Genomic DNA, 14,547 nt, shown 5'->3' on the forward strand with positions numbered 1-14,547 from the left:
CAGGATGCTAACTTTCCAGCCCGGCACTGGGGAGAAGCTGTTGGGAGTCCCTGGTTCCAGCCTTTCTAACTAAACCCATCTCCTCCTATGCCACCTGCCTGGGCCCCTCCTGGGACTTTATCACTGTGCCACACTTTTTGGAACTACTGGTTAGAAGGTGAGTGTCCATCCCCCTCCAAGACACAGAGGTGCCTCTGTCCCCTACTGGCTCTGTCTTGAAGATGCACCTCTCGGAGCCTCGGTTGGCTCCTCTGGAACAGGGAGTAGTGAGAAGACGAACCTCACAGGGTTCTTGTAGGGACTCAATGATCTAAGACACAGCAAACAAAGGGGTCCCTAGAGCCTAAAACTCTGGAAAATCTGCTGGGGGTGCTGTGATTCATGTTTGTTACTTTTCTCTTCCCCCTCACTTGAAGCAGCTCTCAGCATTCTGCCTCAATGGCCTGTATCACTCACTGTTTGGAAAAACACATAGAAACCAAGTCTGCGATGGCACTGGTAAAGGATGTCTGAGATTCCTTCTGGCTGGTCTTTCTCCTTGACACAGACAGAAGAGGGGTCCCTTGGTGCTGAAAAAGGAGCCACAGGCCCACTCAGACATCTGGAGAGGCTCACTGGGGTTCTCCAAAGGTTGGGGTTCACTCATTCAACACATACATTCAAAACACCTCATTTGTGCATCGCTCTTCTTGGGGCTTGGCATAATTTCATAAACAAAGCAGATGACAATCCCCCGGCCTTGATTCTACTCAGAGTCAGGCACTCACAGTAGACAGAATAAACAAGTCATATCTACAGAATGTTACAGGTGAGACCCTCATGGCCTCCTCTACGTATGGTGGCATCCTCCCAGATTCTGACTAGAATGACGCAGCCCAGCAACAAATATAAACTGGGTGGATTTAGGGTTCTGAAGGGCCTTTTCACCCACAAAACATGGGGGAAAATATGTGGACTCTGGCTGGGGAGAGACTAAAGGAGCTCTGGGGCTCATACTTCTTATAATTCCCACGAGAAGGCTGACATCTGGGGACTTCCCCCACAAGAGGCAAATAGTGAGTTCTGTAAATGGAGACTTAGGTCCCCTGCAAAGCAGAGGGGAGGCTGGGGTCACAGCTGGCCACTGAGAGACCCATCCCCCTCAGCACCGTGGCTTCCCAGCTCTCCCTGTCCTCCTCCCCCCGACATCTGCCCCTTCCCTCCTAACCCCAGGACCAGGGGACCCAGATCTGGAGCTTTGATGAGGAAGCTGCTCACAAATCTGCCTGCAGCTGCAGTCTTGAGTGCCCAGGTGTACAGTGCTGTGCTCCAGGGCCTTTGGGAAGAGAATGTCTGTGGGACGCCAGGGCGCACGAGGGTCTGTACAGCCCTGCTGTATGGCCAGGTCTGCCCCTTCCAGGACAGCACTGATGGCTTACGGTAGGGTGGGGCTGTCCTCCACACTGGCAGCAACAGGCCAGGGACCCAGAACCACGCAGGGGTGCCCTGGAGGGTTGTGTGGGAGAAGGCCAGGCCTCTGACTCAGCTGTCTACTCCATCACCAGCACCATCACCTCCATTTTGTTCAACTGGCCCCCCGAAAACACTTCAGTTTACTATCAGCCCCCGCAACGGTCATCTTTCCGGATAAAGCTGGCCTTCAGGAACCTCTCCTGGCCTGGACTGGGCTTGGAGGACCATCAGGAAATTGTCCTAGGCCAGTTGGTGCTTCCGGAGCCCAACGAGGCCAAGCCAGATGGTGAGGGGGCTTGCAGTCTGCAAGACTTTCCGGGGGTGGTGTTTTGGGGCTACAATTCCCTTAAATTCCACCCGGTCATTTCTGTGCTTGGAAAACCCAGTGAAAAATGACTGGTGTGGTGACCTTTTCTCCTTTTCCAGATCCTGCTCCACGTCCTGGGCAACACGCATTAACAATGCCGGCCCTGGAGCCAGCACCACCACTGCTGGCGGACCTGGGGCCTGCTCTGGAGCCAGAGTCACCTGCAGCCCTGGGTCCACCAGGATATCTACATTCAGCACCAGGGCCAGCACCAGCACCAGGGGAAGGGCCCCCTCCAGGGACAGTGCTGGAGCCACAGTCAGCCCCAGAGTCCTCCTGTCCCTGTCGTGGGTCTGTAAAGAACCAACCCAGTGAGGAGCTGCCTGACATGACGACCTTCCCTCCCAGGCTGCTGGCAGAGCAGCTGACCCTCATGGATGCGGTGAGCAGCTGAGCTTTGCAGGCTGTGTCTCTGGCACCAGCTGTCTCAGACCAGCCTCTCCCTGAGGAGCAGCCAATGCCCTCGGTCCAATTTCAGCCCCACTTCTTACCAACCGTGGGATCTGGATGAGTTTCCTCACCCACAAGCCTTCCCTGTCTGCATGTGGACGGCAGAGATGGGACATCACCAGCGCCAGCTGCACAGAGTGACTGTGCAGACTGAGTGACAGGAGATGGACAGAAAGCAGGGCAGGGCAGGTGCTCACTGTGGGGCAGGCAGGGCCATGGGTCACTCACCCAGCTGCTCAGGAGCCTCACTACCCTCAGCACTTATTAGGTACCTGATGCATACTGGATTCTATGGTAGACACCCAAACAGAGCCCATAGTTGCAGCTGCCACAAGGAAAGTGCACCGGTACGGAGAGGAGTAGTAGAGGGCTGATTGGGATGGGAGGAAGACGAGGCCTCAGGATGGGCAGGCCTGAGCCACCTTCTAGTTCTTAGAGTGTGGATGGCCTGGGAGAAAATGTCACTCTCTCTTCCCACCCTTGTTGGGTTCTAGGCCATGATGCATTCAGGTCCCTCGGGGGCAGAAAACCAAACCCAGGGACTCCCACAAGTCTGGAGCCCATTTTAAAGCTTTCTGAGCTCCAGCTTGGTTCCTGCCAGAGACCGTGGATGACTGTGAGCTCAGTCCCTGCCTGGGACTGTGGGTGACTCTGAGCTGCAGTGTGCTGTGTCCGTGACACTCTCCTCCTCCCCCAAAGGAGCTGTTCAAGAAGGTGGTGCTCCACGAATGCTTGGGCTGCATCTGGGGCCAAGGACATCTGAAGGGGAATGAGCACATGGCACCCACAGTTCGTGCCACCATCGCACACTTCAACAGGCTCACCAACTGCATCACCACCTCCTGCCTCGGGGACCACAGCATGAGGGCCCGGGACAGGGCCAGGGTGGTGGAGCACTGGATCAAGGTGGCCAGGGTAAGCTATGGTTGGGCCTGGGGATTCCCTCTTTAAAAATGGGGAACTTCCTCTTCTCCTCCATCGGCTTTCAGGATCGGCATCTGTATCTCTGGCCTGGACCCTGCACATCCCCTAGGCTCTTCTTGCCAGAGCTTCACTCACCTTGACTCCCACGGCCCAGTGGTGGCTGCTCACTTCCGACCTGGGGTCTTCCTTGGGTTGAACTAAAATCCTCCTAGATGAGTGACATCCACTCGGCCCCAGGTCTGCCCTCCTGAGGCTCCCCAGGCCTCTGCTTCATCCAGGAGGGGAGATCTCAGCAGAGGGGGCTGAGGCTGTAGTGGGCCAAGCTCCAACTCTGAACCGCACAGCTCATTCTTCCCTCTCCAGGAGTGCCTAAGCCTCAACAACTTCTCCTCGGTGCACGTCATCGTCTCTGCTCTGTGCAGCAACCCAATAGGTCAGCTACACAAGACGTGGGCAGGAGTGTCCAGGTGAGGAGGGCTCTCTCCATGGCAGCATCAGGGTTGACCTAGGGACTCACAGGTCTCCCCCCATGTGCCCTCAATGACTCTGAAAGGTTCTTGGAGTCCAGGGACACTGGAGGCAGGGATGGGCCGGTGGCTGTGGTCACTAAGCTGCCCTGGACTCCTAGGCAAGGATTTCCAACTCAGGACTAAGGTTTTTTAACCATCAGGAACAGACTGGAGCCAACTGGAGGCTTTCAGGTGTTTGTACCCAGCAGTGGAACTCTGTGTCCAGCTGAAAGCTAACTGTAAACACGCAGTGGCTCATGTGAAGTGGAGATGGGGCCCAGGGGAGGAGCATGAGAGGTCCCACCCTGGTCCTCTGGAGCCCCTGTGATCAGAGGACTCCACTGAAAACTCTCACCCAGTAAGCTGGGATTCACTGGGTTTTCAAACAAAAGGGACTGGAACTCACAAATCTCCCCTGATTCCCAAATTTACCCTTCTTTCTTTCCTCTGCCCATAGCAAAAGCATGAAAGAGCTAAAAGAACTCTGCAAAAAAGACACTGCAGTGAAGAGGGACCTACTGATCAAGGTACAGTGGAGTCTGGGAGATGCAGGACAAGTGTTTAAGGGTCAGAGAAAAGAGTGAGTTTGGAAGGGCATTGGACCAGGTGTCGAGTGGTTATTTTGTTTGGTTTTGACTTACCTACTAAAAGTGGACTTGAAAAATTCCCTCCATGCCTACCTTGGGCCAACAGGAAGAGTGGTGTGTCGGTCCATGGGCACGTGGGGGCATGGGGGCAGGAGGCCCTGGAAATGGGATGTGGCAATGGCTGCTGGGCTGCTGGGCTGCTGAGCAGGGGTGATGAGCTGCAGCATTAGCAGGGCTCTGGCTCCCATGCTGGTCCATGCTGCTGGCATGGAGCTTCCTCCAGGCTGGAGGGTGATCATGGTAGGTGGGACTTCCTTCCTTCCTCAAACCGGCCAGCAATTCCTCAGGAAGCCAGGCCTCTGCTGCTGCTGCTGCTGCTGCTGCTGCTGCTGCTGCTGTCTGCAGCACACCTCCATGGGCAGGGGGCCTTGGCCTGCACTGGGGGAGAGGGGGAACAACAACAGAGGAAGCTCATGTGGCAGGGAGTCCAGTAACTGCCCAGCTTTGGGTACCAATGGGCATACTGGGGACAGACGTAGCTGTTTGCTGGGACTCCCCACTCTGCCCTTTGCAGACACCCAAAAACGGTCATGTCAGAGGATTCTCACCGGTTAGCAGCGACGCATGCTCATGACAAGTATCTGGGGGATTCATACATTGCTAGGGGATCCTCCCTGACCAGATCTCAGAATCGTCCATGCAAATGAGAAGGCAACATGTCACCCCACCCAGGACTCTGGAAAACCCTGCCATTGCAGTCAGAGATGGCGCATCAGGAGGCTACTTCCTCAGTGGAGAAAGAGAGAGTTCCGTGCACGGAACTCCCCTGGGGGATCATTGGCGAGGCGAAGCCTTTGGCATGGCTCAAACCCAGTTTGCGTGGCAGAGATTCCAGTGGGGCTGGGATAGGCAGGTGCCACTTAACCAGGTCTCCTAAAATGCCCTGTCCCTTTCCCATCACGACTGTATGTGGCTGGAGACCTAGACACTCAAAGACTCCAGAGAACACGACCCTGATGGGTGGTGGTGCTGGGATGTGAGCTGAAGGCAGCCGAGACGGAGCCTCCAGGAGCAGAAGGAGGCGTCCTCTCTTTGGGGGCCCTGGGGAGCCACTGCCCGCTCTGGGCCTCTGTTTCCTCATCTGGAAAATGAAGGGATGCTGAGCCTGTAGTGCAGGCCTCACAGGGTAGAAATGAAGTTCAAGAAAAGAAAGCAATTTGAGGGTGCTCGTGCCTGGTTCTTCCTCAGAGGGATGACGGTGAGAACAACGGCAACAGCTACAGGAAACTGAGCCCTCAGAGGCCCTGTGAGGTAGCTGTGGTTTGCATCACTCTTTACAGAAGAGGAAACAGTCTCAGGGAGGCCCGGCTGCAAGACTGGGTGACACACACAGGGAGTGTGGATCTGGGCCAGTGGTATGAGCACGGTGCCAGGTGGCTCCCGCCACTCCCTGGGGATCCAAGTGCGGGGTGGCTGGGGTGTAACTGGGGGAGAGGAGGAGAGCCTCACTGTCCCTGTCGCTGACACCTGGCAGGCGGGGAGCTTTAAGGTGGCCACCCAGGAGAGGAACCCCCAGAGAGTCCAGATGAGGCTGCGGAGGCAGAAGAAGGTGAGTGAGCCTGTGGCATGGACGGGCCGCAGGGGATCAGAGGACAGGGCTCCCTTCCCCGCCAGCTGGAGGCCTCCATATCAAGACAGCGGGGGCTTCCTCCCCAGCCCTGTCCTCCTGTGGCCACTGGGCCTGGAAAACCTTCATTTGAGAGACCAGAGGAAGGGTCTGGGAAAGCTGGACTCAGACTAGATGTGGGGAAGGGTAAAGCTGGGACCACAGGCCTTTGTGACTTGTTAAAATCCCACCATAGAGGTTAACAAGGAGTGCTTGCTAGACTTGGAGGTCAGCTGGGATACAGGAGGCAGAGAATTGGGAAAGGCAGCTGAGGGTCTTTGGCTGCTCCAACCGGGAGACCTGAGGAGGGGGCTCTGGGAGACAGGGGCTGATGGGATTTCATGGGACAGGACCTTGGGCAGGCACCTGAGGGCCAATACTCATCACCACTACCCCTCCCACCTCCCCACCCCTCCTTGGCACAGGGTGTGGTCCCCTTCCTGGGGGATTTTCTGACTGAGTTACAGAGGCTGGATTCGGCCATCCCGGACGACCTGGATGTGAGTGAGCCTGGGGCAGGGTGCTTGGGAACCAAGATCCTGAAGCTTGGGAGGAGAGGGTCCTGGACCGAGCCTTTAGATCTCAGCCCTTGGCAAACCTCCTCTCCTAAGAGCCTCACAGCTGCTCCTGTGGGTGGGGGTGTCAGGCCCATCTCATCACCTCTGAGTGATGGAGGCTCCATGGCAGCCACCAGGCCCTATTCCTGAGTGGTGAAGCTGCAGAGCTGCCTGACTGCAAAGCTGCTGAGGTGTGGGCTGAACTGGGCTCAGCTTCTCCCTAGGGTAGTCCCGTAATAGGAGGGTGAAATTGAGCCTCTCCAAGGGCAGGCAGTTCCAAGGTCACTGAGCGCTTTCTTTCTATGAGAGACCTCAGTTTCCCTGTCTGTCATCACAGAGGGTTGGGGCAGAAGGTCCCTGGGCCTCAGCTCCCATTCCCCCTGCTCTAGAGCCCGGAGCCTGAGGCAGGTCCAAGTCCTGTCGTGTGCACATCCCCTGACCCTGGTGGCCCTGGCAGTAGTGCAGCATGGGAAGGGGTGGGGTGGGGCTGGTTGTGGGCCAGGGGCCTTTCTGATGGACTCTGTCTGCCTTCCAGGGCAACACCAACAAGAGGAGCAAGGTGAGCAGCTGGGGCACTCACGTTGGATGAGGGTGGGGATGTGGACGTCACAGTCCACCCTGGGCAGGACACTCCCTGGCTCCATCCTCTACATCTTAGGCTTACTGGGAGTGTTTGACACACACAGGAGGAGGGGACCTATCCCAGGAGAAAATGGGAAAAGCACTGGAATCAAAGACCAATTCCTGCAGGAGGGGCTGTTTATATCCAACTCTGAGAACAGGCTGGGGGCGCTGCATGGGACCCCTTCAGAAAACTGCCCCAGGGACCAGCCCCTTCTCCCTGCCTGCCAAAGGCCCCCACAGCAACTTCCACCCAGGCCCTGTCAGCATCCTGTCCTCTGTCTCTAGGAGGTCCGAGTTCTGCAGGAAATGCAGCTGCTCCAAGTGGCTGCCATGAATTACAGGCTTCGGCCTCTTGAGAAATTTGTCACCTATTTCACAAGAATGGAGCAGCTCAGTGACAAAGAGAGGTGAGGGCCTAGCCCATGGGCTGAGGGTGGGAGAAGGCTCTCCATTTTTTTTTTTTAACATGGTCTGGCTCTGTCGCCCAGGCTGCACTGCAGTGTCACCATCTCTGTTCACTGCAACGTCTGCCTTCTGGGCTCAAGTCCTTCCTCAGCCTCCCAAGCAGCTGGGACTACCGCTGTACACCACCATGTCCGGTTGTTCTGCTGTTGTTGTTCTGGTACAGATGGGGTTTCACGATGATGTCCAGGATCGTCTCAAACTCCTGGCCTCAAGCAATCCACCCACCTCAGCCTCCCAAAGTACTGACGTTACAGGTGTGAGCCACCCCACCTGGCCTAGAGGAGGCTCTCCCGTGGCCAGCTGCAGAGAGCCTATGGCCATGCCTCCACGGCCAGCATCAAGCCCTGTTGCATGGGGACCACTGGGGACCCAGGATTCCAGCTGGGCAGGCACTGACAGGGGACCTGATGTGTGGCTCATGGTGGCCTCACAGCTGCTTCTCTGTCCTGCAGCTACAAGCTGTCCTGCCAGCTGGAGCCCGAAAACCCGTAGGCTGGCAACATCCTGCAGTGGCTGGGAACCCACCGGGATGCTGGCCAGAACACCGGCTCTGCACCATCCCTCACCCAGACCGTAGACACCAGGGAACCACATCTAGGAGGCTGGCAGCTCAGCTGCATCTTGCCCTGGATCCTCATCACCAACTGCTCCTGCTGGCCAGGATCAGGCCATGGGACTTTTGTGAGTCAGGCGGGAGACCATTTTATGTTTATTTTCTTTAGTGTATAAGTAAGGGTTTTTTCTTAACTTTCGTTAAAATAAAATTTTAAAAAACTATTCAAAATGTTCTGTAGTTGTTGGAATGAGAAAAGTAACTCCAGTGCGGTAACCATATACCAGTCTTTAGGATTCATAGCCTAGCATGTCAAATTGAGGCTATGGCTGAACAAGTTATGGAATAGCATTCACATTACACATGCCAAGCATTTAATGTTTTCCTTCTTTATTCAAATTATTGTTAACTCTGCTTAAGAAAACAAACAGAACAAAACAAAACCCCTTAAAAGCCATAGTATGTCACCCAATCTATGTCACCCATAGTATGTCACATTTGTTCTACTGACCAGCTATTCTCAAACTTAAATTCTAGTTAAATTCAAGTTCCACTGGGTTACTCAATTTTCTTAAGGTTTAAATATTTAACAAATCACTTAAATATTTACTGAAGGGCTGGAGATGGGAGGTATTTAAGCAAGTGGTAGGGCTGGCCTTCTCCAGAAGTCCTGGGCAGAAGGGAGCTGGCCATCAGTCTCCACGAAATACAGATAAACTTTTTCCACTGTGGATCTTCCCAGACCTTCTGACACCTCTCCCCTAAATGAACATCAAGGAAGGTGAGAACTGTTTGAACTCAGTATCTAAAAGATGTCCCACAGCTTAATTTGAACACAACCCCCATTGTGGGATATCAGACAAAAACATGCCAAAGAAATCAACATTTCAGGGTCTGAAACATGTAATACCCCCAAATCAACACAAAATAGACACCTAAATCCAATCCTGGAGCCGCAAAGCTCCTATAAGAAAAGCGGGAGTTTCTATTTCGGCAAAACTTGTATCTATGCACGCAGTTTGCAAAAAAGAAAGAAAAGAAAACCAAAAATTATCTATGGCAAGAAACCCTTTGACCATGCAATTGATTTGGCAATACTTTTTCTTATTTTTTATTCTTTTTGGATGGAAAACAAAAATGTGAATACAAACACATAGGACTAAACATCATTTTAGAGCTTCCGCATGGGGAAGAGAAACAATGAACCATTAAAGAAGGCATCCTACAGATTGAAAGAAAGTTCAGCAGAATCATCTGTGAAAGGGGTTGTTATCTAACATGTACAAGAAACTAACACTACTCTTAACTGGAAAAATGAACAAAACCTAATACCCAAGCTAAAACTGGGCAAAGAACCTGAACAGGCACATCTGAAGAGAAAACACGAAATTGACTGACAGGTCAAAGAGAAGTTGCTCAACTTCACTAATCCTCACACAAATGTCTAACTGCAAACCAGACTCAGATACCTCTCACTCTAATTAGAATGAAACTTACCAAAAACAACAAAAAACCCATATGTTCACAGGCAGTGGCCAACGTAGAAACGCAGAAAAAGACACTTTTATAAACTATTGGTGGGAAGGTACATTACTAGACACACGAAGCGAAGCAGTTGAAGGTGCCTTAAACATTTTACATTACAACTACCCGTTCACCTATCAATCCCACCACTGGTTATACACAGAAAGCGCATGGAATCTGTTATGTTGAAGAGATATCGGCCTTCCTATGGTGACTGAAGCACTACTCACAATAGCAAAGGTATCCAATCCACCTACCTGTTCATGCACAGATAAAGGGATAAAGAAACTGCAGCACGCAGTGGAATCCTCTTCGGCCGCAGAAATTCATGAAATCATGTCATCTGCAGCAACGTGCAGAAACCTGGAGGACATGACCTTCAACAAAATGAGTCAGGCAGAGAAAGACAAACAGCATGATTTCATGCATGTGAGAATGAGATCAACTTTCTCTCTAAACGACTTTATCTCCTAGAACTAGAAAGTTCCACAGTGGTGAAGAGAGGCGGGGGGTTGGGGAGTCCGGGCAGGAACTGGGAAATGGATACAATGTTACATTCAGATGACAGGAATAAATTCAGCTGTTCTACTCCACAGTAGGGTGTCTAGAGTTAACAGTATCCTACCATATTTTCCAAAAAAGGCTGAAAAGAAGGATTCTGCATATTGCAACGACAGAGAACTAATAAATAATAACTACACAAGGTAACAGAGACAGTCAATGCCTTGCTTTCATCATTACACAAGGTATATATGCATGATCAAAATGTCCCACTCTACTCTTTAACTGTATACCTTTACTACAGAGCAAATTGGTTTTAAGGACACAGAAATAAACAATGCTGGAGTTCATGTGACACCAGGAAATGCCCGGCATTTCCAAAGCAATTCTGAGAAATCCAAACTACATTGGATGCATCACATTCTCTGATTTGAAATTTCACTCAAACTCTAGGGACCTGCTTCCACATGGATGAGTGGAAGAGAACCTGAAGTAAACCCACACACCTCATACGACCTGATTTTGGATGAAATACACAATGATAAGTAATGGGGAAAGAACTCCCTTTTCAATAGTCTTGGGGTAAGTGGCGAGCCATATGCAGAACAGTAAGTAACACTAGGCCTCTACTTCTCACCATGTGCAAAAGTTCACTCCGATGAATGAAAGATGTAAATGGAAGACCTCAAACTACAAAAATCCTACAAGAGACCCTAGGAAGTACCCTTCTCGACATCGGCTTTGACAAAGCATTTATATGCCTAAGACCCCACATGACACTGCAACAAAAGCAGTAATCAACATGTGGGACCTAATACACTGAAGAGCCACCGCACAACACGACAAATTACCAACAGAGTAGACAGACAACATACAGGATGAGAGAAAATGTTCCCAAACTATGCACCTCACCAAGGTTCTAATATCTAGAATCTACCTTAAAGACCTTATAGAAATCAATTAGCAAAACCCCCCAAATAACTAATAAATAGACAATGGATATGAACACACACTTCTTGAAAGATGACGTACAAGCAACCAACAAATCTGAAAATATGCTCAACCTAACTATCAGAGAAATATAAATCAAAAGCACAAGGAGATATCATCTCACACTGGTCAGAATGGCGATTACACAGTTAAAAAAAAAAAAGGACACTGGTGTGGCAGCAGAGAAAGGGGACACTGGTCCACTTTTGGTGAAAATGCAGAGTAGTTCAGACACCATGGAAAGCACTTCGGAGATTGCTCAAAGAACTTAAACCAGAACTACCATCTGACCCAGCAATCCCACCACTAGGATATACACAAAGGAAAATGAATCCTTCTGACCAAAACACACATGCACACAAACGGTCCTGGCAGCACTATTTACGATGGCAAACACGTGAAATCAACCTAGGTACCCATCAACAGTGGATCAGAAAAGGAAAATGCAGTACATATATACCACAAAAAGCTAGGCAGCCATTACAAAAAAGAAGGAAATCATGTCCTTGGCAGCACCATGAAAGGAGCTGGAGGCCATTATCTAAAGAGAAATAAGGAAAAAACAGAACACCAAATGACACATGTTCTCACTTACAAGGTGGAGCTAAAATTGAATACACCCTACCGTAAAAGTGAAAACAGCAGACACTGGTGACTATCAGACGAAAAAGAAGGGACAAGGTATGTGCTAAAGACCTACCCGGTGGGTGCACCTGTTCCCTGCGTGATAAGGTCCCTGGGACCCCAAGTCTCAGTGGCATGCAGTATACCAAAGGCAGTAACTAATCTGCCTTTGTACCCTTTAGTCTATAATAAACGTAGAAATTATGTTAAAAAATACACTTAGAAGCTAAAAAAATGAATGAAAAACACAAGCTTTTATAATTATCCAAACAATCCTTTATTGGTATAAACTAAGAAAGTGGACAGAATGAGTAAACCAAATACTCAACCCCAATTTACATATAGTGAACACATTTTTTCAAAAGAACACCAAAAAGACACAATGGGAAAAAGAGACTGTTTAATAGATGATTTTGAGCAAACTGAATATTCACATACAAAACACTGAAATAGGACCCTTATGTCATGCAACACAAAAATCAATGCAAAATACATTAAAGACCTAAAACTCAATTCTGAAACCACAAAACTCCCACAAGAAAACAGGGTGCGCATGTATTTTAGAAAAGAAATCCATGCACGCAGCCTGCTAAAGGTATAAACAAAACATTAAAACAAAGGAAACACTCTAAGAAAACATCCATAGACAATGTAATGGCTTGGCATTTTCACTGAAAAGCTGGGGACCCGGTTCCACAGAGCAGTGGAACAGATTAGAAGACCCAGATATAAACCCGCACAACTGAAACCATCTGATGCTTGAAAAAAATCAACAAAAATAAGCGATGGAGAAAGGACTCCCTATCAGTAAGTGGTGCTGGGATAAGTGGCTAGCTGGATGCAGAAGAAATAACACTGGGCCCCTGTGTCTCACCATGTACAGAAAGCAACTCAAAATGAATCAAAGATTGAAATGCAAAATCCCAGGCTGAGCACGGTGGCTCATGCCTGAAATCCAAGCACTCTGGGAGGCAGAAGTGGTCAGATGATTTGTGGTCGGGGAGTTCGAGACCACCCTGGCCAATATGGTGAAATCCCGTCTCTACTAAAAAAGCAAAACTTAGCCGGGCATGGTGGCACGTGCCTGTACTCCCAGCTACTTGGGAGACTGAGGCAGGAGAATCACTTGAACCCGGAAGGTGGAGGGTGCATTGAGCCGAGATCGCTCCATTGCATTCCACCCTGTATGACAGAGTGAGACTCGGTCTCTAAATAAATACATAAATACATAAAAATCCAAGACCTGAAACTATAAAAAAATCCTGCACAGGAATCTAGTAAATACCCTTCTCGACAGAGGCTTCGGCAAAGCATTTATATGTCAAGTCCCCAAAACCAATGGCAACAAAAACAATTACTGATAAGTGAGACCTAATGCACAACAGAGCTGCTGCACAGTACAAGAAACTACCAACAGAGTAAACAGACAGCCTATAGAATGAGGGAAAATATTCCCCAACTATGCATCTGAAAAACATCTAATATCCAGGATTTATCGTAAAGACCTTAAACAAATAAAACCAGAAAAAAAAAAAAAAAACAACTTATAAATGGGCAAGGGACATGAACACACACTTAAAAGGAGGTGTACCAGTAACCAATGAGCATGAAAACATGCTCGATCTCACTGATCATCAGAGAAATGCAAATCAAAAACATACTGAGATACCATCTCACACTGGTCAGAATGGCAATTACGACACACAGTCCACAACAACAGAGGCTGGAGGGGCAGATGAGCAAAGAAATGCAGGTCCACTGTTGGGGGAAATGCAAACTAGTTCAGACCCCCTGGAGAGTAGTGTGGACATTTCTCAAAGAACTTAAAAGAGAACTACCACCCCACGCTGCAACCCCACTCCGAAGGATCTACCCAAAGGAAAATCCTTCCACCAAAAACACACATGCACTCATCTGTTCATGGCAGTACTACTCACAATGGTAAAGACATGGAATCGGCCTTGGTGCCCATCAGCAGTGGATCAGAGAAAGGAAATGTGGTATATACACACCACGGAACGCTACACAGCCATAAAAAACAAATCCATGCCCTTACCAGAAACACGGACAGAGCCGTAGTCCATTATGAACAAAAGGCAAGAACAGAAAACCAAAATTTTCAAAACAGCTACAAAGGTCAATTGTGAATATTCTCTCCACAGAGAAATCATAACTCTGGAGCTCACAGAGATGCTAGACACTGCAACTTCATTATGATGCCACTTTTACATAGATCAAATTGTCCCTTACAGCAGCTGGTTATACACACATACTCTACGGCAATGAAATTGCTATCCCATTCTGGTAACATTCATTCTCAGTGGAGTGAGATGATATCTGAGTGTGGTTTTGACTTCTCGTGAGGATCAGTAATGTTGATTCAGAATCTTTTACCTGTGCATCCGTCTCAGGTCTTCAGGTCCTTTGCCCAGTCTTACACATTAAATTGAAACAAGTTCACAATAACTTGGCAAACATCACTCACCACAAGCAAAATGTAAATCAAAACCACACTTAGATACCATCTCATTCTAACTAGAATGAGTGTTACAAAAAAAGACAAAAAACATTGAAAGAAAGGCAAATGCTGGTGTGTGTTTCCAGAGAGAGAGAGAGAGAGAGAGAGACACTCTTCTCCAGTTTGTGAGAAGGTAAACTAGTACACACGCTACAGAAACCACTTGGAGGTTCCTCCAAACCTTAAAAGACTCCAACTACCATTTCAACCAGCAATTCTACTAGGAATACGCTCAA

The 14,547-nt window shown here is 49.6% G+C and overlaps 1 protein-coding gene and 1 pseudogene across 4 annotated transcripts in view, besides 2 other annotated features; one reads left to right on the top strand and one right to left on the bottom strand.

Annotated features, from left to right (window-relative positions):
• The window catches only part of GUSBP11 (GUSB pseudogene 11), a 78,937-nt pseudogene that overhangs the window by 52,304 nt on the left and 12,086 nt on the right, over window positions 1-14,547 (bottom strand). The window contains exons 7-8 of the transcript NR_024448.2: window positions 9,936-10,055; window positions 3,329-4,727 (exon numbers count right to left, since the gene is read on the bottom strand). The product of NR_024448.2 is annotated as a GUSB pseudogene 11 (transcript). The remainder of the gene's footprint in view (window positions 1-3,328; window positions 4,728-9,935; window positions 10,056-14,547) is intronic.
• Window positions 223-8,378, top strand: RGL4 (ral guanine nucleotide dissociation stimulator like 4). Of its 3 annotated transcripts, NM_001329424.3 has the most exons (12): window positions 223-1,419; window positions 1,545-1,738; window positions 1,879-2,201; window positions 2,969-3,184; window positions 3,557-3,660; window positions 4,160-4,229; window positions 5,824-5,898; window positions 6,381-6,455; window positions 7,048-7,071; window positions 7,422-7,543; window positions 7,765-7,855; window positions 8,054-8,378. In NM_001329424.3, the coding sequence occupies exons 1-12, from the start codon at window positions 1,241-1,243 to the stop codon at window positions 8,321-8,323; spliced, it is 1,743 nt and encodes a 580-aa protein (NP_001316353.1). In that variant the 5' UTR covers window positions 223-1,240; the 3' UTR covers window positions 8,324-8,378. The 3 variants fall into 3 exon arrangements, with proteins under 3 accessions (NP_001316353.1, NP_705843.1, NP_001316354.1); NM_153615.2 differs by lacking the exon at window positions 7,765-7,855; NM_001329425.2 differs by lacking the exons at window positions 223-1,419; window positions 1,545-1,738; window positions 1,879-2,201; ... (2 more) ...; window positions 4,160-4,229; window positions 7,765-7,855 and adding an exon at window positions 5,626-5,704.
• Window positions 4,630-5,130: an enhancer, noted in NCBI's record as "H3K4me1 hESC enhancer chr22:24037607-24038107 (GRCh37/hg19 assembly coordinates)". NCBI's record gives its function as "activates a minimal SCP1, AML or CMV promoter by ChIP-STARR-seq in naive H9 embryonic stem cells {active_cell/tissue: H9 hESC(naive)}" and the evidence as "EXISTENCE:reporter gene assay evidence [ECO:0000049][PMID:30033119]".
• Window positions 5,865-5,944: an enhancer, noted in NCBI's record as "active region_18756". NCBI's record gives its function as "activates an Ori minimal core promoter by ATAC-STARR-seq in GM12878 lymphoblastoid cells {active_cell/tissue: GM12878}" and the evidence as "EXISTENCE:reporter gene assay evidence [ECO:0000049][PMID:35858748]".

The sequence above is a fragment of the Homo sapiens genome, chromosome 22 (genome assembly GCF_000001405.40).
Source record: "Homo sapiens chromosome 22, GRCh38.p14 Primary Assembly".
In the NCBI taxonomy this organism is placed as follows: Eukaryota; Metazoa; Chordata; class Mammalia; order Primates; family Hominidae; genus Homo; species Homo sapiens.

Coding starts and splice junctions, on each gene's coding strand:
- RGL4 (NM_001329424.3), top strand. CDS start 1,241: ATGAGGAAGCTGCTCACAAATCTGCCTGCAGCTGCAGTCTTGAGTGCC. Junction 1,739..1,878: donor CAACGAGGCCAAGCCAGATG/GTGAGGGGGCTT, acceptor CTCCTTTTCCAG/ATCCTGCTCCACGTCCTGGG. Junction 3,185..3,556: donor ACTGGATCAAGGTGGCCAGG/GTAAGCTATGGT, acceptor TTCCCTCTCCAG/GAGTGCCTAAGCCTCAACAA.